Consider the following 23344-nt stretch of genomic DNA (forward strand, 5'->3'; position numbering starts at 1 on the left):
GTTAAGGTGTTTCCTGCCAGTTTCAGCAAAGATTTATCTTAATAGAGCTGTGATCCTATACATATCCCAGTTTTAAAAAAAATTTCTGCCTCAAGCTGATGACATAAGCCTTTCCTATTAGAACAGTGGAAGCATGTTCACTGACTGGCCTTGCTTCAGTTCCCTCACACTGGGCTGCCAGCTCACATGGGTGCCTTCTGAAGGCGGCATACTCCACTGGGGAGATGTGCTGATGATTTAACCCACAGAGGTTGGACGCTGACTGTGTCACTGACTTTTCTTTTTTTTCTTCCTTTTTTTTTCTGAGACGGAGTCTTGCTCTGTCGCCCAGGCTGGAGTGCAGTGGCACAATCTCAGCTCACTGCAAGCTCCGCCTCCCGGGTTCAGGCAATTCTCCTGCTTCAGCCTCCTGACTAGCTGGGACTACAGACGCCCGCCACCACACCCGGCTAATTTTTTTTTTTTTTTGTATTTTTTAGTAGAGACGGGGTTTCACTGTGTTAGCCAGGATGGTCTCGATCTCCTGACCTCGTGATCCACCCCGCTCAGCCTCCCAAAGTGCTGGGATTACAGGCATGAGCCACCGCACCCGGCCTACTGACTTTTCATTACAGCTGATGCTCTATTGACATGATTTCCAGGATGTATCTCAGAAATGGGAGAATGACTAGTCCAAGGGATGGGCGTTTCCAGCTTTTCATTTTTTTTTTGTTTTGTTTTTCAAGATGGAGTTTCACTCTTGTTGCCCAGGCTGGAGTGCAGTGGTGCAATCTTGGCTCACCGCAACCTCCGCCTGCCGGGTTCAAGCCATTCTCCTGCCTCAGCCTCCCAAGTAGCTGAGATTGCAGGCATGCGCTAATTTTGTATTTTTAGTAGAGACGGGGTTTCTCCACGTTGGTCAGGCTGTTCTTGAACTCTCGACCTCAGGTGATCCACCTGCCTCGGCCTCCCAAAGTGCTGGGATTACAGGTGTGAGCCACCAAGCCCAGCCTCATTTTTTATTTTTTGAGATGGAGTCTTGCTCTGTCACCCAGGCTGAAGTGCAATGGCATCATCTCGGCTCACTGCAACCTTTGCCTCCTGGGTTCAAGTGATTTTCCTGCCTTAGCCTCCCAAGTAGCTGGGATTATAGGCACATGACACCATGCCCAGTTAATTTCTATATTTTTAGTAGAGATGGGGTTTCGCCATGTTGGCCAGGCTGTTCTCGAACTCCTGACCTCAGGTGATCCACTTGCCTTGGCCTCCCAAAGTGCTGGGATTACAGGCGTGAGCCACCGCACCAGGCCTCCAGCTTCTTTATAGCCATGCAGTTGGTTACAAATTGTTTCCCAAAGTGGCTGGGGTATGCCTGGCCCACAGGCGTGACAGGGAAGGGCCAGGAGTGGCCACATGAGGCGGCTGTTAGATTTGGGGGTGAGGGGAGGTCTGCCAACCATGTGGGTCTAACTAGCATTTCTGTGCTTTGGGGCTGCCTCACAGCTGACCCTGCATGGAGATTAAACACAGGAGCAAACCTGCACACCCTGCAGGGGCTTGAATACCTGGTCGTCCCCCCGACCCACCCAGTTCTTTCCTGGTCCGGCTCTGGCTCTGCAGTGAGTGCGGAAATGAGCTCCCTTCAGCCTCGTCTCCTCTGGCTGCCCGGGGTACCCACCCCAGGCGACCTCAACCAGCCTGGCCTCCCCGACAGCCACACCTGACAAGCTGGGCGCCTGTCAGCAACACCCCAGAACAGAAAGGACACACAGGAGGGCCGGGGCCACCTGCACCAATAGCATCTCTCAGTTCTGACATCAGGGGTGAGGCTGGGCTGCAGCGGCTGGGCCCTGGACCCCTCTGACCAAGCAGAGCCACCGGGCTCTGGGCCTTGGACAGAATTCCATATCCTTGCCTGCTTCTCCTTTGAAAGGGTTCCACAGTCAGTGTCTACCTACAATGACAGCAAACTAGGTTTCTTATTTATATAGCCTTAATCAGGCAAATGAAGGAAAGACATGATGACTTGGAGTGGACTAGTGATCCAACCCTGAGGTGTGGTCAACAACTCAATGATCCCCAGGGCCAGTCTGACATTCAGGACACCTGTCGGGGGGGCCTCCAGTCCCAGGCAGATCCATCTCCTGAACTCCAGGCCTAAACAATCCACGGCCCCAACACAGGCTCCTGGACACACAGGTACCAGACTGGGGCACACCTGAATCCCAAGCAGCCCCTCTCCCCGTCCCCATTCACTGGGTCAGCTGAGCCTTGACCCTCCCTGTTCCCAGCCCCCATGTTCCCTCAGTCCCACCTCCCAATGGTGGCCCACTGCCCTCGTCTGCCTGGACCTGGCCTGGCCATGTCTGCCCACCCTCCACGACCTTGGCCAGTGACCACAGAAGCACAGTTGCCCCATCTGTGATGAAGTCTAGGGCTGCTGAATCAACCAGCCCAGACAGCTGCTGCCCCAGGACTGTCATGTGCTGTCACACCTCCTCACTGATTGAGTCGGGGCTTGTGTAACCTGGGGCCAGGCGTGTGCTCACGGGCATGTCACCCTCACATCCCCCAGGCACCCACCCGCCTCCCCGGGCACAGAGCAAGTGCCAAACCCACCCAATGAATGGATGAGCCAGTGAACACAGACCCAGCCACTGGGGCTAGGGTACGACCGCATGGCCGGGGATGGCAGGGAGGCTAGGCTGCTTGTCACACACCCACCCTTCTGTGGAACTCGCACACAGGCTGGGTGTTCCCCCTCCACAGATCCTAAAGTTCCCCATTCCCTGCCATTTCCCTCATCATAAAGGGGAGACCCTGAGAACGTACACAACATAAACTGAACAGTACTGTGAATTTCCACTTGAGAGCCTGACTTGCCCCCGGCCAAGGGCTGCTGTGTGTCCCAAAGGCAACTGGGCAAGTGCTAGAGACTTTCTCCATGAGGCACCTGAAAGACACAAAGGCCCCAAAGGCCCCGTGCACCTGCCTCAGAGACTACCCAGGGGTGCTGGTGTGTGCGTGGGACATGCCTGTGGGGAGGCAGAGCTGGGCTCTGGGGTCAGAGACTCTTGGACCTGCCAGCTTCTCACAGTGGGACCCCAGCAGGTGGCTGGACTATGCTGATCCAGTGTCCTCCCCTGCAGGGGGACTGTGGCCAGGGTGACGGTCACCTCCCTGGCAGGGCCCCCCTTACCTGAATGCCTGGTTCTCACGGTTGTTCTGGAGGGCAATGGTTTCCACCTCGGGACCCCCGTCCGCTATGAACCTGGCCAACTTTTCTGCAAGGTTCTTGACCTCTTCGTCCTCTGGGGGTGAAACTTTAAGCAGGCTGTCAGTACTGGGCTCAACTCACCACACCCAACAGCCTAATTTCTGCTAAGAACCCCAAGGGCAACAAGTGGGGTTTGTTTTAGGAATGATGCAAAGAGAAACAGGCAAATGGGAATCAGATTACTACACTGGGACCAGATGCCAGAATTCATAACACACCTCAAGCCCCCACCCCCGACCCCCGCCCCGTCCCACAAGGGAGGTCAAGAGGGCCTGGGACATGAGCCAGGACAAAGGATCCAAATGTGACTGCGGGTCTGGGTAGGGCAGGAAGGCAGATGGGAGCACCCCAGGTCACATGGTTAGGGGGTGCTGTTGGGCCTCCTCTCCTGGGGAGAGGCTCAGGGCACAGGGCCACAGGGAACACAAGGAACAAACCTCTGCAGCCTGCGCTTGGCCTGAACATCAATTCCACCCCACCAACCCACCAGCACTTGGCTGGGATTTTATGTCATTGCAGTCAAAGACCAGCCAGTATTTCCCCTTCCCCTGAAATTCATCCCATCAGAATTGCACCAGCTGACAGTGTCTGTCCCCCAGGCCCTCGGCCCTACACTACACTTGCCTTGCCCTGTCCTCAGTGCCCAGGAGGAAGCTGGGGCTCATCAACACTTGTTAATGTAACAAAGAACCAACAAGCAAAAGCCCCCTCTACCTAGGGTACTGCCCTGAACCGCTCTCCCAGAAGCGACCTCGACCTCCATGAGCTCCCGTCTACCCCACAATGTGGCCTGACACTCAGGCTTCACCAGGTCCTTGGAGCACTGAGGGGGAAGGTGGTGTCAGACCCATTCCCAGAGTGACCCCAGATGCCTGGGAGAATACAGGCCTCAACCACCGGTGCCACACAGTGCCACTCCAGCACCTCCAGGAACCCCGATTCCGCATTGGGGCACGGTATGTCCACAGGCCTCCCCAGAATCTCCCACCCGCTCCGTCCACCTACCTTTCTGAGAGGCTGCCTGCGACTTCTGTGCTTCCTTTCTTATCTCAGCCACCTTCTTCCTGTAGTAGAGGAATTCCCTGCTATTCTTATCGTGCAAAAATCTGGAGAGGAGGAAGTTTGCAGAAGAGAGGGGAAAATAAGTATCTGTGACAGGCATATCCCTGCAGCTTCTATCGTGCAAAAAAAGGCAGGCTGGCGAGCAGGGACCCGAAAGCAAGTCTCCGTGCCACATGGGAGCCACTTGTCACTTCTGGTGAGAATCAGAAAACGCTTGGAACAGCATCCGGCCCACACTAGCAAGCACCCAGCCCCACACGTGCGACTGTGCAGCAAACGCATTCAACAGCACAGCCTTCCCTTCCCCGGAGATACTCACGCAAATGCTGGGTTATCCTTGTAGTCCTCCATAGCTACTTTTTCTAACTCGGGGCCTCCTTCTGCCACAAAGCGGGCCAATTTCTCTATCACTTTCCGAGTCTCGGCTCCCTCTGGGGGTGAAACTTTAAGGAGGCTGTCAGTACTGGGGTTCAACTCACACACCCCACAGTCAATAGGCACACTCTCTCTATGGACCACAACGACAGAGGGGGTGGGGGGAGAAGAGTGTGAGATGCAGGAGGCTGTCGGGCGTCCCGAGTCCAGGCACAAAACACCATGACGAGGGGGGAGTCGGTCTCACTGTCTTGGTGAGACACACTAGGTGGGAGAGAAGTGTGTGAGGCTGTGGTGAGCTCCAGGCTGGAAGCTAGCAGAAAATATATCCAGCTTCCCCTGGTTTTGGTGGGGGAAATGCTTAATTCTTTTCTTTCTTTACCAGTTTTCAGCATAATACATCGGTTCCCTTTCATCCTTCAAAGATGACACGTTCTTTTTTAAAAAATACCATTATGAGCTCTGATTTAAACACACTGGGTGGGTTTCGATCCATGGCAACTAGTGTCATCATAGAAGCTCTGCGGCCGGTGGAACCTCTTCAAGCTGGCTCCTGAGGGCTCTGGACATGGCCCCAGGAGTCTCTGATGGCCTCCTTGCCATCTGCCAGGACAGGCGCTCCAAGATCATCTCATACACTTCCTGCCCAGACCCAGAGCCAGCCACTTCTCCAAGAAGTCGGTTTCCATGAGAAACTGCATCTCCAGACCAGCATCTGGGAGCTAGGGATGCTCAATGCCACAGGCTTAATCATTATTTCGGGGCCTTTTCAGTGAACAGAGCTATAAAGATATATTTTTATATACGGATTAGCCTCCCCACTGAGCCATGTGGAACTTGCTTTTGCATTTTTCCCTTGGCCTGTTTCTGAGGCTGTGAGTTTGTCAGCTACTACACAGACTGCAGTCCTTGTAGGAGATGCACAAGAGAAATTTCTCGCTGCCAGCAAGTGCCTGGCAACTGGGCAACATGCCAGACCTGTGGCTAATCTTATTCCCCTTGTTGCTTGGGCTGCTGGGAATGGGGGAGAGGTGGGGAGTGTGTAGCCCAACGAGGGCCCCTGTGAGGTCCCGAGAGCATTCCGTGACTGTCTTTCACCCTAGGTCGCCCTCCTGCCATGGGCCCAGCAACAATCCTGACCTGGTTGCTGTTTACAGGAACAGGTGCGTTTCTGAGGCCATGCAGACAGTGGGTCATAATGGGCTTCAAGGGCCCCGAGATGGCCAATACCCCTTGTAATGCAGCAGTTCCCAACAGGGTACCCTTGGAGCTGCTGGGGCACCCCTTTAAGGAAAGGACACACGCCAGCTCCATTCTAATGGCCCGGGGGCCAAGCTGGCCTCTGATCCGCTCGGACACACAGCCAGAAGCAAGGGATCTCAAGGCTGTCATGGCACAACTCCACAGTCGCTTCAGTCTGTGCTGTCAGGGTGATGTGACCTCACCGGCTAGCCCTTCACACAGTTCAGGTGTCACAGGGACTCGTCCTGAATGTGGACAGGGCTGGACTTGCTGGCAATGCTGTCACCACAGCCACCCCCCTTTGCCCTCCTACACTGGGCGGTCTGGACAAGCTCACCCGTGACCAGTGACCGTCCTTTCCCAGGGATAGAAGAGAGCACCCTCCAACCTGCAGCTCATACCTCTGGCCTAAACTCAGGGGACAGGTAACCCATGGTGAGGGGCAGTGCTTTGGGGCCTCAAGGGCTCAGCGGAAGAGCCTTAGAAGCTCCTCCTAGAAGGGATGTGAGGATGCCCTTTTGGAGCAAATGCGAGAAGGGCGTGCGCCCCTGCCTTGGCTGGGATGAGCCGCTGTGTGAGTGGAAGATGGATCCCGCTGCTCCCAAGATGAAGCCCACGCGCTGATGCCCAGCAACACCCCAGCCCCGCCCCTCACCCTCCTTTGCTCTCCTCACCTCAGAGGGCCTGAGGCTCAGCTCAGAGGTCTGGTGGCTGCAACTCAGCCGAAAGCACCCATGCCCCTGGCAGCACTTGCCCTGCCCACCACAGATCCCACCTGCTAGAGCACGGGCACTGGTGGTGGGGGAGCAGCAGCTCCCACAACTTACCTTTGATCTCCAGCCACTGCTCATAGTCCTCCTCCTCGTCCTCGTCAGGGGACTGGAAGACACTCGGGCGGTGCGCCACGGGCAGCTGCTTGGCGTGGGAGTAGCTCTTCACAGGGCCCGGCAGGCTGGCCAGCCCCAGGCCTGTCCGCCTGCTGATGAGCAGGGACCTCTTCCCAGCGCTGGGGGTGGGTGTGCTGGGAGGGGCGCTGGGCGCACTGGTCGGGGCGTCTGGTATAGAAGGAAGGATATGCGCACTCGGGATCTGCAGGGCACCTCTCCCGGCTTCCGACCTAACCTAGGTGCTGTGGGCCCCGGGGGAGCTGGGTCCTTGACTTCCAGAACTCAGGGGCTCAGAGGAGGCCACCCTGATTTTACAGATGGGGACAGTGAGGCAAAGAGCAAAAGGACTCGTTGTGGTCCCCCAGCCAGAAAAGCAGCAGCCTGGGGCTCTGAAGTGGGCCGCTGTGGCTGGAGGCATCTCGGTCGCGCTGCACCCACAGACTGGGGACAGTTCTGGGGACAGAACGTCAGTTCTGCCGGGTAAGACCCGAGTCCCCGAATCCCAGTTTACAACCATTCCCTTGGAGGTCTGTGGCCAGGCTGACTGGCCAGGGGCCAGCCTACTGGGTGTTCTCAGCCTGACACCTGATGGGGAAGGGACTCAAACCAGCCTTCCTCATTCTAGGATGAATTTGGCCTTGGGTTAACTTTTCTTAGCTGTTCCCTGGGAAACCTGACAGAGGTCGAAGACCAGCTGTCTCACCAGCAACAATGGGCTCTGGTCGGTAAACCCCAAAATCAGAGACATGGGCAGAAGCTCCACGGGTGACGATTTACCCACCTGGCATATCACACTGCACACCTGTAGGCGACCAACCTACAGACAGGGGTCCCATTCCTTGCACAGGCATTGCTGCCCACTGGAGAAGGCCGGGAATCCCCTGGGGCACTGACAAGGGGGCCAGGTGAGGACCTGGAGACCAGCCATTCTAGCCCACACTTTGGTGTCCAGAGGACCTACAGTGCAGAAGCACCCACAGCAAGGCAGGGGATGGGGCAAGGCTGGTGTGTGACAGCTTCAGGAAGAGCCCTGAGTCTGGTGGGGAGCAGCATCATGAAATTGGCCAGCTCACCACCCTGAGAGCAGGACTAGGGCCCCCGGATCATGAAAGATGCTGGCTCTGCACTTGGGGACCTCATCTTTTTTTTTTTAGTGACAGGGTCTTGCTCTATCACCCAGGCTGAAGTGCAGTGGTGCAATCATGGTTCACTGCAGCCTCTACCTCCTGAACTCCTGGGCTCAAGCAATCCTCCCAGCTCAGCCTCCAGAGTAGCTGGGACTACAGGTGCACGACACCATGTCTGGCTAATTTTATTTTTATTTTTTGCAGAGATGGGTTCTTGCTAGGCTGTCCAGGCTGGTCTCACACTCTTAGATTCAAGCGATCCTCCCAGCTCAGCCTCTCAAAGGGATTACAGACATGAGCCACCATGCCTGGCAGGGGCTTCATCTTTTTAAGCCTTAGCTTCCTAAATGGAAAGTGTGGAAATGGAGGTAACCAGCTGCTTACAGAACTCAATGAGATTTAGTTGGACCATCTAGACCTAAAAAAAATAACGTCGAGTAAGAGAAAAAAGCTTGGAACAAAACGCACACTATGTCGTCATCTGCATAAAGGGTCAAACATCTGAAACTACGGCACACACTGCTTGACTGAGAGGACAACAGGGGTTGTCAGACACACAATTTCTCGACAGTTACTTCCTGTAAGAAAGGGGGATGGGAGGACTTCAACCTCTGGTATTTTTCTTTTTTTTTTTTCTTTTTGAGACTTAGTCTCGCTCTGTTGCCCAGGCTGGAGTGCAGTGGCGTGAGCTCAGCTCACGTGAGCAGAGCTGGTTGCCTCCCAGGTTCGTGCAATCCTCCCACCTCAGCCTCCCAAGTAGCTGGGATTATAGGGGTGTGCCACCATGCCCAGCTAATTTTTGTATTTTTAGTAGAGACGGGGTTTTACCACATTGGCCAGGCTGGTCTCGAACTCCTGACTTGAGGAGGTCCACCCGCCTCGGCCTCCCAAAGTGCTGGAATTACAGGCGTGAGCCACTGTGCCCAGTGAGTATTTTTCATGATTAACAAAGATCAGAAGTATCAAAGGCAAAATGTTACATCTATGAATTCTTTTTTGTTTTCTTTTTTTGAGATGGAGTCTTGCTCTGTCTCCTAGGCTAGAGTACAGTGACGTGATCTCCACTCACTGCTACCTCCGCCTCCCAGGCCCAAAAGTGATCCACCCATCTCAGCCCCCCCATTAGTTGGGGTTAAAGTTATGCATCACCATGCCTGGCTAATTATTTGTATTTTTTTTGTAGAGAGGAGACTTAGCCATGTTGCCCAGGCTGGTCTTGAATTCCCGAGCTCAAGCGATCCTGTCCCCTTCGGCCTCCCAAAGTGCTGAGATTACAGGCATAAGCCACCGCACCCAGCCGACATCTATGAATTCTGAGTGAAGAGAATACGACGTGTGTTATCAGACGTCTACCAAAGGGAAACAGAGGTAGAGAGAGGTGTCCCTCCAGAGGATTCAGTGAGAGCACAGACGTGGTCTGCTTGCACGGAGCAAGGGACATGGCAGGCACTGAGTCCACATTCCCTGGCACACGGGGTGGTACCCGATGAACACTAGTGCCCTGGTGGTCATTGTTGGGTGCCCCCAGCTGCGTGCCCACCCGGCACCTCAGCCGCAGCAGGCCCCAGAACCTATTGTTCTCTGATGCAGCTCAGGTGTCTCGGGCCAGCCCGGTGTCTCTGAAAACCCTGTATGCAGAAGACCTGCTCACCCCTGCTGGTGGGTTCAAGCTGACCCAGCTTGGGGATGCCTCCCATCTCCCAAAGTGGTCTCACAAGTGTGGGGAAGGCTTCATCATGGCTCCACCTGCCCCAGACTGAAATCTGACTTATCTGTCTCTGCTCCTACAGGGTAAGCACATTGAGTGCAGGGTCTACATTTGCCCCCTTGGTAATTTTTTTTTTTTTTGAGACGAAGTCTCGCTCTTGTCCCCCAGGCTGGAGTGCAATGGCATGATCTTGGCTCACCTCAACCTCCACCTCCTGGGTTCAACCGATTCCCCTGCCTCAGCCTCCCGAGTAGCTGGGATTACAGGCGCCTGCCACCACGCCCGGCTAATTTTTGTATTTTTAGTAGAGACAGGGTTTCACCATGTTGGTCAGGCTGATCTCGAACTCCTGACCTCAGGTGATCCGCCTGTCTCGGCCTCCCAAAGTGCTGGGATTACAGGCGTGAGCCACTGCGCCCAGCCTGCCCCCTTGGTATTAATTTACATATTTATTACTTGGGCTGGGTACAGTGGCTCCTGCCTGTAATGTCAACACTTTGGAAGGCTGAGACAGGTGGATTGCTTGAGCTTAGGAGTCCAAGACCAGCGTGACCAACATGGCGAAATCACAACTCTACAAAAAATAAAAAAATTAGCCAGGTGTGGTGGCATGCCCCTGTAGCCCCAGCTACAGGGAGGCTGAGGTGGAAGGTTTGCTTGAGCCCCGGAGGTTGAGGCTGCAGTGTGCTATGATTGCACTACTGCATTCTAGCCTGAGCAAGAGTGAGGCCCTCTCAAAAAAACAAAAATTACTGGCCGGGCGGAGTGGCTCACGCCTATTACCCCAGCACTTTGGATGGCCAAGGCGGGCAGATCACGAGGTCAGGAGATCAAGATCATCCTGGTAACACAATGAAACCCAGTCCCTACTAAAAAGATACAAAAGGCCGGGCACAGTGGCTCACGCCTGTAATCCCAGCACTTTGGGAGGCTGAGGTGGGCGGATCACAAGGTCAGGAGATCGAGACCATCCTGGATAACATGATGAAACCCCATCTCTACTAAAAATATTTAAAAAATTAGCCGGGCGTGGTGGCGGGCGTCTGTAGTCCCAGGTACTCAGGAGGCTGAGGCAGGAGAATGGGGTGAACCCGGGAGGCGGAGCTTGCAGTGAGCCGAGATCGCGCCACCGCACTCCAGCCTGGGCCACAGAGCGAGACTCCGTCTCAAAAAAAAAATTATTTATGTATTATTTATTTATTTATGCCTTTGGTGCACGCATGGGTGGAATGAGGGCGATCTATGATTACCGGTGAGCAGGAGTCTGAGGTGGGACCCATCACTTCCCATGTGCCCAGCAACCCCAGGGGGAGATGCAAGGACAGCACAAGGAAAGGGGAGGCCTACACTCACCTGTGCTGGTCTGTGCCTTCTGCAACTTCAGAAACTGCTGCAAGAAGCTACCATCGTTGGCAAACTTGTTGGAAATGCAGGAAGAGTTGTGTGCATTTGTGATTCTAGAACCAAGACAGAGGACAGAGAGGGTGAGCTGGCTAGAGATGGAGTGAGGGCACCAGAGGACGAGGATGAGGATGAGGCCATCACCTCGTCCATCATGGCCCCTAACTCACCCCAGCACTCTCACCTACTGGGACCCCAAACTGGCCCCCAGAGATTTCAAGAGACTACTGCGAAGTGCGCACAGCAGGCTTCAGTACGGTAAGCTGGGAACAATCTTGTTCTGATAAAAGCAATACTCCATGTATTATCTCTGCCTGAATATTAACCCTCCAGGTCCAAATGGCCCTCCAACAAGATGGCTCCTGCTCTCTCTGCACAGCACCTGTCCTCCCTTGCTAGTTGATTATCTGGGTTGTTACTGACTCATGTCTGTCCTCCTGCTAGACCTTAGAGTTTTCCAAGGCAGGGCCTACATGTCTCTCTCTCTCTGTCTCTCTCCCTCTCTATCTATCTATCCGAAACAGAGTTTTACTCTGTCGCCCAGGCTGGAGTGCAGTGGGGCAATCTTGGCTCACTGCAACCTCCTCCACCCAGGCTCAAGAGATTGTCATGTCTCAGCCTCCTGAGCAGCTGGGATTACAAGCATGTGCCACCACACCTGGCTAATTTTTGTATTTTTGTAGAGATGGGGTTTCGCTATGTTGGCTGGGCTGTTCTCGAACTTCTAACCTCAAGCCATCCTCCCACCTCATCCTCCCAAGGTGTTGGGATTACAGGTGTGAGCCACCACACCTGACCTATTTATTTAAGAGACAGGGTCTTGCTCTGCTGCCCTGGCTAAAGTGCAGAGTGCAATGGTGCGATAACAGGGACTGCAGGCATGTGCCACTCTGCCTGGCTAATTTTTTAATTTTTTTTTTTTTTTTTGGTAGAGGTAACATCTCACTATGTTGCCTAGGCTGGTCTTGAACTCCTGGCCTCAAGCAATGGTCCCACCTCAGCCTCCCAAGTCACTAGGACTAAAGGCATGTGACACTGTTCCTGGCCAATGCCATTTTTTTGACAGGCATGAAGGGCAGCTCTGACAACAGTATATCAGCTGTGCTCAACTTTGATTTAAATATATTTAGGCCCCTGGGTTTGCCTTTGTGCTAACTTGTTAAAAACATATTTTTTAAAAAGTAAAACATATACTTTGCAAAAAAAAAAAAGAGGGAGAGAGTGAAGATAAAATATAAAATGCCCTGTGATTCTTCCAGCAAGATTGCTTTGGCTGTTTTCTTAGAAATGTTTGATGCCCAGGCTGGGCGCGGTGGCTCACGCCTGTAATCCCAGCACTTTGGGAGGCCGAGGTGGGCGGATCACGAGGTCAGGAGATAGAGACCATCCTGGCTAACACAGTGAAACCCCATCTCTACTAAAAATACAAAGAATTAGCCAGATGTGGTAGCAGGCGCCTGTAGTCCCAGCTACCCGGGAGGCTGAGGCAGAAGAATGGCGTGAACCAAGGAGGCAGAGCTTGCAGTGAGCCAAGATTGCGCCACTGCACTCCAGCCTGGGCGACAGAGCGAGACTCTGTCTCAAAAAAAAAAAAAAAAAAAAAAAGAAATGTATGATGCCCAAAGAAATGCTTGCAGATCCCAGCTCTGAGCTGCAGGCCCACATGGGTAAAGAAACACAGGCTTTGGCTAAGCATGGTGGCTCATCCCTGTAATCCCAGCTACTTGGGAGACTGAGGTAGGAGAATCACTTGAGCCCAGGAGTTTGAGGCTGCAGTGACATATGATCATGCCACTGCACGTCTGCCTGGGCAACAGAGTGAGATCATGTTTCTTAAAACAAAAAAAAGTAACAGAGGCTCATTATGGAACAAATGGAAATGTAGAAAAACTGAAATAAGCCTAGGCAATATGGAGAAAACCCCATCTCTACGAACAAAACAAAAAATTAGCTGGGTGTGGTGGCGTGTGCCTATAATTCCAGCATTCCAGAGGATCACCGGAGCCCAGGAGGTCAAGGCGGAAGTGGGCCGCAATCATGCCACTGCACTCTAGCCTGGGTGACAGAGTAAGATCATTTAAAAAAAAATAAAAAGAAAAACTGAAACAGAAAGGAATGGAAAAACCCAACAATGTCTCCCTACTTTGCAACAGCCACTATTAACACTGGTATATATCTTTATTTTGCTCTCTAAATTAGAAGTCAGAGGAAATAAGGCTGTGATCACAGCACACACTCTACTTCTTCCATTTCCTACTGTAGCACACCATCCTGCTCCAATCTCAAATTCCTCACATACGCTGCTTTTTAAACCCGCATGACGTTCCACCATATGGATGTACCCAATGGTGCAAAAAGCTCATGGAGTCCACAGGGCTAGCCTTTTTCCTTTAAATAGGAGAAAGGAATAATTTTTAGTTCATCAGAACTAAAATAACCTAAATACATCAACAAGGGGCACTGGTTAAATAAATTACGGGCCATCCACAGGGAAGATGGGGCAGCCCTGAAAAGTTGAAATTTTAGACAAGCAATCAAATACAATGTTAAAGGAAAAACAAGGCCAGGCGCGGTGGCTCACGCCTGTAATCCCAGCACTTTGGGAGGCCAAGGCGGGTGGATCACGTGGTCAGGAGATCGAGACCATCCTGGCTAAAACAGTGAAACCCCGTCTCTACTAAAAATTAAAAAAAAAATTAGCCGGGCATGGTGGGGGGCACCTGCAGTCCCAGCTACTCAGGAGGCTGAGGCAGGAGAATGGTGTGAACCCAGGAGGCAGAGCCTGCAGTGAGCCGAGATCGTGCCACTGCACTCCAGCCTGGGCAACAGCGCAAGACTCCATCTCAAAAAAAAAATAAATAAATAAAATAAATAAATAAAAAAAAACAAAAGGACAGGCTATAAAACAGTATCTACAGTGTGGTTCTACTTACATCAAAATACATTTGAATTAAAAATTGTTACAAAGGCCGGGTGCGGGACCTCACACCTGTAATCCCAGCACTTCGGTAGGCCAAAGCAGGCGGATCACCTGAGGTCAGGAGTTCAAGACCAGCCTGGCCAACATGATGAAACCCCGTCTCTACTAAAAATACAAAAAATTAGCCGGGCGTGGTAGCGGGCACCTGTAATCCCAGTCACTGGGGAGGCTGAGACAGAAGAATCACTTGAACCCAGGAAGCGAATGTTGCAGTGGGCCAAGATCGCGCCATTGCACTCCAGCCTGGACAACAGAGTTAGACTTCATCTCAAATATAAAAAAAAATTGTTAGACAAACACATCGGGCCAGGAGCAGTGGCTCACACCTGTAAACCTAATGCTTTGGGAGGCCAAGGTAGGAGGATCACTTGAACCCAGAAGTTCAAAACCAACCTGGGCAACATAGTGAGACCCCATCTACACAAAATTTAAAAATTAGCTAGGCATGGCAGTGGACATCTGTAGTCCCAGCTACTCAAGAGGCTGAGGTGGGAAGATAGCTTGAGTCCAGGAATTCCAGACTGCAGTGAGCTATGATAGTGCCACTGTACTGCAGCCTGGGTGACAGAGTGAGATCCTGCCTCTGAAATAAAACAGGCCCGGCACGGTGGCTCAAGGCTGTAATCCCAGCACTTTGGGAGGCAGAGGCGGGTAGGTCACCTGTGGCCAGGAGTTCAAGACTAGCCTGGTCAACATAGTGAAACCCTGTCTCAACTAAAATACAAAAAAATGGCCGGGCTCAGAGACTTATGCCTGTAATCCTAGCACTTAGGGAGGCCGAGGTGGGAGGAACAACCTGAGGCCAGGAGTTAAAGACCAGCCTGGCCAACATGATGAAACCCCATCTCTACTAAAATACAAAAATTAGCCGGGCACGATGGTGGGTTCCTGTAATCCCAGCTACTCGGGAGGCTGAGCAGGAGAATCACTTGAGCCCAAGAGGCGGAGGTCGCAGTGAGCCAAGATCACACCACTGCACTCCAGCCTGGGCGGCTGAGTGAGACTCTGTCTCAAAAAATAAAATAAATAAATAAATAAATAAATAAATAAATAGCCGGGCATCGTGGCGCACACTGGTAATCCCAGCTACTCGAGAGGCTGAGCAGGAGAATCTCCTGAATCCAACAGGCGGAGGTTGTAGTGAGCCGAGATGGCACCACTACACTCCAGCCTGTGTGACAGAGCAAGACTCGTCTCAAAAATAAATAAATTAATTAATTAAATAAAATTAAAAAAAACAGAAAAACACCTCAACACTCAACCAGTGCTTGTCTCTGTGTTGCAGAGTTATGAGTGACTTTGGTTTTTTGTTTACCCCTCTTCTACTTCCTGGATTTCCTACCATGTACATGAATTACCTTTAAAGTTTAAAAAAAGAAGGAGTAGAAGTAATTTTATATGAAAAAGAAGGTTCAATGTTGACACTAAACAACCAGGACATTCTGGGCACCCCTCAGTTCCTGGGCCTGCCCCCATACTCACACCCTGAGCACTTCACTCAGGAGGGACCAGGAAGAGGTAGGGACAAGGAAAGACAAGAAATCACATTCAGGCTGCAGAGTACAGCGAACGGCTCCCACCTGAAAACCACTGGTAACAAATACTGGGAGATAAAAATGCTGGTTCTTGGCCGGGTGCAGTGGCTCACGCCTGTAATCCCAACACTCTGGGAGACTGAGAGGGGCGGATCACCTGAGGTCAGGAGTTTGAGACCAGCCTGACCAACAAGGAGAAACCCCGCCTCTACTAAAAATACAAAATTGGCTGGGCGTGGCAGCGCATGCCTGTAATCCCAGCTACTTGGGAGGCTGAGGCAGGAGAATCGCTTGAAACTTGGAGGCAGAGGTTGTGGTGAGCTGAGATCGTGCCACTGCACTCTAGCCTAGGCAACAAAAAAAGAAAAAGAAAGAAGAAAAGGCAAACGCTGCTGGGTGCAGTGGCTCACACCTGTAATCCCTTTGGGAGGCCAAGGTGGGAGGATCACTTGAGTCTAGGAGTTCGGGACCAACCTGGGCAACATAACAAGACCTCATCTCTACAAAAATAGAAAAAAATTAGCCAGGCATGGTGGCACGTGCCTGTGGTCCCAGCTACTTGGGAGGCTGAGGCAAGAGAACTGCTAAAGCCCAAGAGCTCAAGGCTTCGGTGAGCCATGATCCCACCACTGCACTCCGGCCTGGGTGACAGAGCAAAACCCTGTCTCAAAGAAAAAAAAAAAGGAAAAGCTGGAGCTGGAACAAGGCCTTGGGGAAGGTTAACACACTCTACACTCCAGACCCCAGAGGAAGGGGCCTGCCTCTCAGATTATCAATCTCCAGCCTGAAAAGCTTGGATCTGGTCACCCTCATCACAACATCACCCCTTGATCAAAACCCTTGGTGCCCTCAGTGTTTCTCAGGACAGGCAAGTGGAAACCCTTGCTGAGCTATCATCCACCTGCCATCCACTAAGGGACAGCCCCTTTGGTACAGCAGCTCAGGCTGGCCCTCCACATATGGGCTCTCTCCCCTTCCTGCCCTCTGCTGGGCAGGCCTTTCTCTGCTTCCTCAGTGGGCCAGCTCCACCTGGGCTTTCAGGATGCAAAGCTCTGTGGCCTTACTGTGGCCACGGGGCCTGGGAACACACTGCCTTTGTTATCTTCCAGGAGCTCTGGGGCGGCACCTGCATCCCTTTGCCAGTAGTTTGTCACCCCATAAGGGCAGAGGTTTTTTTTTGTTTTTTTTTTGAGACAGAGTCTCACTCTATGGCCCAGGGTAGTGTACAGTGGCACGATCTCAACTCACTGCAACCTTTGCCTGCCAGATCCCAGAGATTCTCGTGCCTCAGCCTCCTGAGCAGCTGGGACTACAGGCACGTGCCACAATGCCCAGCTAATTTTTTGTATTTTTTAGTAGAGATGGGGTTTCACTATGTTGGCAAAGCTGGTCTCAAACTCCTGGCCTCTAGTGATCCTCTGTCTCAGCCTCCCAAAGGGCTGAGATTACAGGTGTGAGGCAGCACACCTGAACTCAAGGCAGAGATTTTTACTCTGTTATACCCCTTCCCTCTGCACCACAGCTGGCTGGCAGTAAATAACTGCTGAGTGGATGAGTTGGCAGGCTGTCCTCTGGGCTTCCACATACCCCTCATTTCTCTCTTGCCACAGTGAGCCTCCCAAGGGCATCTGGGTCATTCCTTGGATCATCAGGCTATGGCTGGGTGCAAGCACATGCTGACTGCCCTCACAAGCCAAACCCTGTGCTGGTGACCCTCAAAGACTCACATCCAGGCCCCATCCAGGCCCCAGCAGGCACTTACTCGCCAGGATGTGGGGGCTGAGGGCTGGCCACCTGATTCTGCTTGGCTTTCTGTTCCATTTTGGCTTCAATTTCCCGTTTCTTCTGAGCGATGAGCTCTTCCTGGTGAAGGATGTTCATGTTCATTTTTCCAGATTTAGGGGGAGCAACCCCAAACCACCGGTTAGCCTTTCCTGGGGAGGGAAAAGGAGTACGTCGGAAATCACCCTTACTCCACAAACACCCCAAGAAGCTGTGACAGGCCAGAGAGCAACTGATGTTCAGATTAATTTATATGTCTATTAGTTCATTTATTCAGCAAACACTTACAGAGTGCCTGCTGCATACCATACCCTGTACTTACTACGTGCTATGCAAGAGAACACAGGTCTCTGCCCACGTGGGACTCGCTTCAGGCTGGGAAGACAATAGACCCATAATAAAAAAGTAACTTTCGGGCTGGTGCAGAGGCTCATGCCTGCAATCCCAGCACTTTGGGAGGCAGGGGCAGGCGGATCACTTGAGGTCAGGAGATCGAGACCAGCCTGGCCAACGTGGTGAAACCCTGTCTCTACTAAAAATACAAAAATTAGCTGGGTATGGTGGCATGTGCCTGTAATCCCAGCTACTAGGGAGGCCGAGGCAGGAAAATTGCTTGAACCAGGGAGGTGAAGGTTGCAGTGAGCCGAGATGGTGCCACTGCACTCCAGCCTGGCAACAGAGCAAGACTCTGTCTCAAAAAAAAAAAAAAAAGTAAGTGCACAATGTGGTAAGAGCTCTGCTGAAAACCAAAAAAGGGTGAAAAAGTAACAGGAGAGTACATATGCAGGTAGGACAGGCAGAAAATAAACACTAGAAGAGGAGACATTTAAACCAGAAAAAACAAATAAGAAGCCAGCGTCATGAAAAGCCAAATGGGAGATGATCTGGGCAGAAGAAGGAGCAGATGTGAAAGCTCAAGGCAGGAAGAAGCCTGGTACATCCAAGGAGCAGCAAGTGCCCAGTGTCAGAGGGGCCTGCTCCAGGGACAGGCAGAGGTGAGGCATGTCAGAGCATCTGTGCTTTATTATAAGGGCTTTGGGGAGTGATGGAGAAGCACTAAGATGAAGAATGCAAGATCCATTGGGTCTTTTTTTGAGACAGGGTCTGGCTCTGTTTCTCAGGCTGGAGTGCAGTGGTGTGATCTCAGCTCACTGCAGCCTCCGCCTCCCCGGCTCAAGCAATCCTCCCACCTCAGCCTCCCAAATAGCTTGGATTACAGGCATGCACCACCTCACTTGGCTAATTTTTAAATTTTTTCATAGAGATGAGGTCTTGCTATAGTGCCCAGGCTGGTCTCAAACATTCTTTCCACCTTGGCCTCCCAAAGTGCTGGGATTTACAGGCATGAGGCACCGTGCCCCAGTGGCTTTTTTTTTTTTTTTTTTTTGAGGCGAACTGTTACTCTGTCAGCCAAGATGGAATGCAGTGGCACCACCTCGGCTCATTGCAACCTCCACCTCCCAGGTTCAAGCGATTCTCCTGCCTCAGCCTCCTGAGTAGCTGGGATTACAGGCGTGAGCCACCACACCTGGCTAATTTTTATATTTTTAGTACAGTTAGGATTTCGCCATGTTGTCCAGGCTGGTCTCGAACTCCCGTCCTCAAGGGAACCTCCAATTTACGCCTCTCAAAGCGCTGGAATTACAGGCGTGAGCCACCGAACCCAGCCTTCTTTTTTTTTTTTTTTTTTTTTGAGATGAAGTATTGCTCTTTTCCCCCAGGCTGGAGTGCAATGGCGCGATCTTGGCTCACTGCAATCTCCACCTCCAGAGTTCCAGCGATTCTCCTGCCTCAGCCTCCCGAGTATCTGGGACTACAGGCATCTGCCGCCATGCCTGGCTAATTTTTTCATATTTTTAGTAGAGATGGGGCTTCACCATGTTGGCCAGGCTGGTCTCGAATTCCTGACCTCAAGTGATCCACCCACCTCAGCCTCCCAAAGTGCTGGGATTACAGGCGTGAGCCACCACACCCAGCCGTTTTTTTTGTTTTGTTTTGTTTTTTTGAGACAGGGTCTCGCTGAGTTGCCCAGGCAGGAGTGCAGTTGCATGATCGTAGCTCACTGCATCCTCAAACTCCTGGGCTCTAGAGATTCTCCCACCTCAGCCACCCGAGTGGCTAGGACTACAGGCACACTCTACCAGGCCTAGCTATTTTCTTTTATTTTTTGTAGAGACAGGTTCTTGCTATGTTCCCCAGGCTAATCTTGAACTCCTGTCCTCAAGGGAGCCTCCCATTTAAGCCTCCCAAAATGCTGAGATTTTAGGCATGGATCACCACACCTAGCCAATATCCACAGGGTCGTTTTATTTTCATCCTGGCTACTAGGTAATCATTCTGGCCAGAGAATCCACAGGCAACAAGACCAGGGAGGCTCACTGGCTCCAAGCAACAGACAATGATGTCTTCAGACTAGGGTGATAGTATGGAGACAGGGAAGACACCTCAGAGGTTCCCCATGGGACTCAGAATAAAATCCAAATTTTAAAAGTCTGAGCCGGGCATGGTGACTCACACCTGTAATCCCAGCACCTGGGAGGCTGAAGCAGGCAGATCACTTGAGGTCAGGAGATCGAGACCAGCCTGGCCAACATGGTGATACCCCGTCTCTACTAAAAATACACAAAAACACTGGCCAGGTGCGGTGGCCGGCGCCTGTAATCCCAGCTACTCAGGAGGCTGAGGCAGAAGAATGGCTTGAACCCGGGAGGTAGAGGTTGCAGTCAGCCGACATCGTGCCACTGCACTCCAGCCTGGGCGACAGAGCGAAACTCCGCTTCAACAAAAAGAAAAAAAGAATTCTAAAAGGCCATTTTCAAGGCCCCGCCAGATGGTTCCCCTCCCTTCTGCTTCATCCTTGACATTCTTCAAAAGGACAAGCCCATCCTACCAGGGCCTCTGCATTTACTGGCCCCCCTCTGTGTGGAAGGCTCCACCCTCCAGGGATTCCCATAGCTGGCATTCATTGTCTTAACTCAAATGTCCTCTGCTTGAAAAGGCCTTTCCCTGGGCCAGGTGTGGTGGCTCACACCTTTACGTAACCCCAGCACTTTAAGAGGCTGAGATGGGAGGATCGCTTGAGCCTAGGAATTCCAGACCTGCATGGGAAACGTGGCAACACAAAAAACACACAAATTCGCTGTGTGGTGGCGCGCATCTGTGGTCTCAGCTACTAGGGAGGCTGAGGTGGGAGGATCACCTGAACCCAGGGAGCCACAGTGAGCCACTGCACTACAGCCTGGGCGACAAAGTGAGACCCTGTCTCAAAAAAAAAAAAAAAAAAAAAAAGAAAGAAAGAAAGAAAAGGTCTTTCCTGACTACCCAATATCAGAAGCCTCCACTCTGATCATATCATACGTAACCTCACATCATACGTAAGTTTTTGTAAATATTTTCTCATTAATGCACTGACACCCCAGTAGAAAGCAACCTCCAGGAAGGCAGGGCCCTGTTTCGGTCACCGCTGCATGCGTAGCGCCCAGCACACTGCTTGGCACACAGTGAGCACGCCCTAAGTATCTGCTGATGGGTAAATGCATTCTATTCTGGGGAAGCAGAAAGGCCAAGGCTTGCAGCAAAGTGAGGGTCAAAAGACGCGGGAAAGTGTGTCAAGGGAGCCTCAAAGCACTTCGGAAAAGCAGCTTTTCCAGAAAGCGGGACACAGGCCAGAGGCCAGCTGCGACGAAAAGAGGGGTGCAGGGACAGCCCAAGGTTGTCGCCGTATTGGGGAACGGAGGTTGGAGCAGCCCTGAAGGCGGTTGTTTCGGAAACGGGACGCAGGGCCGAGCCGGGTGGCGGCCTCTACGGAGATCCGTGCGTCCTCAGCAAACCAAGCGGGGGCGGCCAGCAACCTGGGTCTGGGGTCTCGAGAAACCAAGAGGTGCAGAAGCCGACGCTGTGGGCTGCCCCGGGGCTGAAGCGAGGGATCCACGGGTCGCAGCAGGACGGACCCGAGGAGTCAGGGGAGACACCTAGCCCCAGGGACCCAGGCGGCCGCCTGAGAGGAGGCGGGGGCTGTTACCTGCAACATCCCGGTTGTCCATCTTGAGACTCATCCAATCCCACAATGCTCCGGCGCCCCTTAAGGGGCCCTGTTATAGTGTGCATCGCCTGATGGGAGATGTAGTCCGCCTCGGTCAGACTCGCCCTATTACTGCGTGAACGACTGGGTTTTTTTTTTTTTAACCTCCAGAAACGGAAGCCTCAGCCTATCAGCGATGCCTAAGTCCCAGTCACGATAACCAAACGGCGTCGCCCTTTTACACCTTCCCGGAGCGGCAGTCATCCCAAATACAAACTACATGTTCCAGGATGCTTTGGGCGGCAGATCTCGCGGAAGCCGCGAGGAGAGCCCGGCCCCGTCTCGCGCGCCTGCTTCCGCCTCCCTGTGGCGGCGGCTTGTTGTTGTGGAGGCCAAAATGGCGGCTCAGGCGGCGGCAGCGGCCCAGGCGGCGGCGGCCCAGGCTGCGCAGGCCGAGGCGGCCGACTCGTGGTACCTGGCGCTTCTGGGCTTCGCTGAGCACTTCCGCACTTCCAGCCCGCCCAAAATCCGCCTGTGCGTGCACTGCCTGCAGGCCGTGTTCCCCTTCAAGCCGCCGCAGCGCATCGAGGCCCGTACACACCTGCAGCTGGGCTCCGTTCTCTATCACCACACCAAGAACAGCGAGCAGGCGCGCAGCCACCTGGAGAAGGCGGTGAGCGCGGGCCGGGCCGCGAGGGAGGAGTCGCGGGCTCCTTGCAAGATCTGGGCTGACGGGTCGCGACCGCGGCGGGTGGGGGGCCGCTCCTCGGCGACCTGGGGGCGCGACCTCCGTCAAAGCCGCAGGACCCCCACCCGCCTCTGCCGGACCCCAAAGCCACCAGCCTCTCAAGGGACACGAAAGCCTCGCCCCCCACGCCTTATTTCCCGTTTCTGGTGACAGGGCTCCAGGAGCCCCGTCACCGTACTCTGAAAGTTGCCTGTTATTGGGAGCAACAGGATCCGCAAATCGTCTGGTTTTCAGGAGGATCCCACCTGTTGGTGGCGATGGGGACATCACAGGGTCCTGAAGCTATTAGCTCCTCCTGGTTCAGCTTCCGGAGCATCAGCCCCAAACGCTTCCACCTAAAGTGACTTGGGGTAGGGGTTGGCGAAGGCGAGACCCCTGGCATTCTCCCGGGAATCTGAAGTCTGGTCTCTCAGGAACCTGGAAGGGCATGATTCTCCTTGGACACAGAAGTTTGGTAATCGTGGTTTTTGGAGGGTCTTGTGCCCCCATCAATAATGCCTGGTGTCGTACGAGGGAAGCTGAGACCCGGAGTCTGGAGTTGGTCATTTGAGGCCTATGAGGAGGAGAAACAGGGGTTCTGGATTCCAGGCCCCGCTGTTCAGTTTCAGTATTAGGGGAACTAAAAGCAGCTCCTGCTTTTTCTCCATCCACTGGTGACTTCTACCATCCATCAGTCCATCCTCTTCCGTCAGAGTGAGTCCCTCCCCTGACCCAACTTGATTTGTGTCATCTTGGTGCCTCAAAGAATGCGGGAGAGTGGCTGTCATTCTGCCCTTTAGTAAACTTTCTTTTTTTTTTTTTTTTTGAGACGGAGTCTTGCTCTGTCACCCAGGCTGGAGTGCAGTGGTGCCATCTTGGCTCACTGCAAGTTCCGCCTCCCGGGTTCAGGCCATTCTCCTGCCTCAGCCTCCTGAGTAGCTGAGACTACAGGCGCCCGCCACCACGCCTGCCTAATTTTTTGTATTTTTTAGTAGAGATGGGGTTTCACCGTGTTAGCCAGGGTGGTCTCCATCTCCTGACCTCATGATCTGCCCACCTCGGCCTCCCACAGTGCTGGGATTACAGGCTTGAGCCACCGCGCCCGGCCCCTTTAATAAACTTTCTAGGGCCAGGCTCAGTGGCTTATGTCTGTAATCCCAGTATTTTGGGAGGCGGAGGCAGACAGATTACTAGACCCCAGGAGTTTGAGACCAGCCTGGGCAACACAGTGAGATCCCGTC

At 52.9% G+C, this 23344-nt stretch overlaps 2 protein-coding genes across 8 annotated transcripts in view, besides 5 other annotated features; one reads left to right on the forward strand and one right to left on the reverse strand.

Annotated features, from left to right (window-relative positions):
- The window catches only part of SUGP1 (SURP and G-patch domain containing 1), a 44477-nt gene extending 23054 nt beyond the window's left edge, over nt 1–21423 (reverse strand). Inside the window, exons 1-7 of one of the 2 annotated variants that reach the window (NM_172231.4) lie at nt 21377–21423; nt 17336–17507; nt 11011–11114; nt 6763–6990; nt 4638–4761; nt 4262–4362; nt 3179–3302 (exon numbers count right to left, since the gene is read on the reverse strand). In NM_172231.4, coding sequence (NP_757386.2) covers nt 3179–3302; nt 4262–4362; nt 4638–4761; nt 6763–6990; nt 11011–11114; nt 17336–17507; nt 21377–21410 — 887 coding nt within the window. In that variant the 5' untranslated portion in view covers nt 21411–21423. Of the gene's footprint in view, nt 1–3178; nt 3303–4261; nt 4363–4637; nt 4762–6762; nt 6991–11010; nt 11115–17335; nt 17508–21376 lie in introns of those variants that run through there. The other variant, XM_047439142.1, reaches the window with a different exon arrangement.
- Nucleotides 21291–21340: an enhancer, noted in NCBI's record as "active region_14344". NCBI's record gives its function as "activates an Ori minimal core promoter by ATAC-STARR-seq in GM12878 lymphoblastoid cells {active_cell/tissue: GM12878}" and the evidence as "EXISTENCE:reporter gene assay evidence [ECO:0000049][PMID:35858748]".
- Nucleotides 21361–21850: an enhancer, noted in NCBI's record as "active region_14345". NCBI's record gives its function as "activates an Ori minimal core promoter by ATAC-STARR-seq in GM12878 lymphoblastoid cells {active_cell/tissue: GM12878}" and the evidence as "EXISTENCE:reporter gene assay evidence [ECO:0000049][PMID:35858748]".
- Nucleotides 21361–22530: a biological region, named in NCBI's record as "H3K27ac hESC enhancer GRCh37_chr19:19431454-19432425".
- Nucleotides 21559–22530: an enhancer, noted in NCBI's record as "H3K27ac hESC enhancer chr19:19431454-19432425 (GRCh37/hg19 assembly coordinates)". NCBI's record gives its function as "activates a minimal SCP1, AML or CMV promoter by ChIP-STARR-seq in naive H9 embryonic stem cells {active_cell/tissue: H9 hESC(naive)}" and the evidence as "EXISTENCE:reporter gene assay evidence [ECO:0000049][PMID:30033119]".
- Nucleotides 21743–23344, forward strand: part of MAU2 (MAU2 sister chromatid cohesion factor) — a 37926-nt gene continuing 36324 nt past the window's right edge. For 5 of the 6 annotated variants that reach the window (NM_015329.4, XM_005259837.4, XM_005259838.5 and 2 more), the window contains exon 1: nt 21743–22049. In NM_015329.4, coding sequence (NP_056144.3) covers nt 21774–22049 — 276 coding nt within the window. In that variant the 5' untranslated portion in view covers nt 21743–21773. Of the gene's footprint in view, nt 22050–22081; nt 22818–23344 lie in introns of those variants that run through there. The other variant, XM_011527844.3, reaches the window with a different exon arrangement.
- Nucleotides 21902–22123: a silencer, noted in NCBI's record as "fragment chr19:19431797-19432018 (GRCh37/hg19 assembly coordinates)". NCBI's record gives its function as "represses an EF-1alpha promoter that drives an FKBP-Casp9 reporter gene in an ReSE screen in K562 erythroleukemia cells {active_cell/tissue: K562}" and the evidence as "EXISTENCE:reporter gene assay evidence [ECO:0000049][PMID:32094911]".

The sequence above is a fragment of the Homo sapiens genome, chromosome 19 (genome assembly GCF_000001405.40).
Source record: "Homo sapiens chromosome 19, GRCh38.p14 Primary Assembly".
In the NCBI taxonomy this organism is placed as follows: Eukaryota; Metazoa; Chordata; class Mammalia; order Primates; family Hominidae; genus Homo; species Homo sapiens.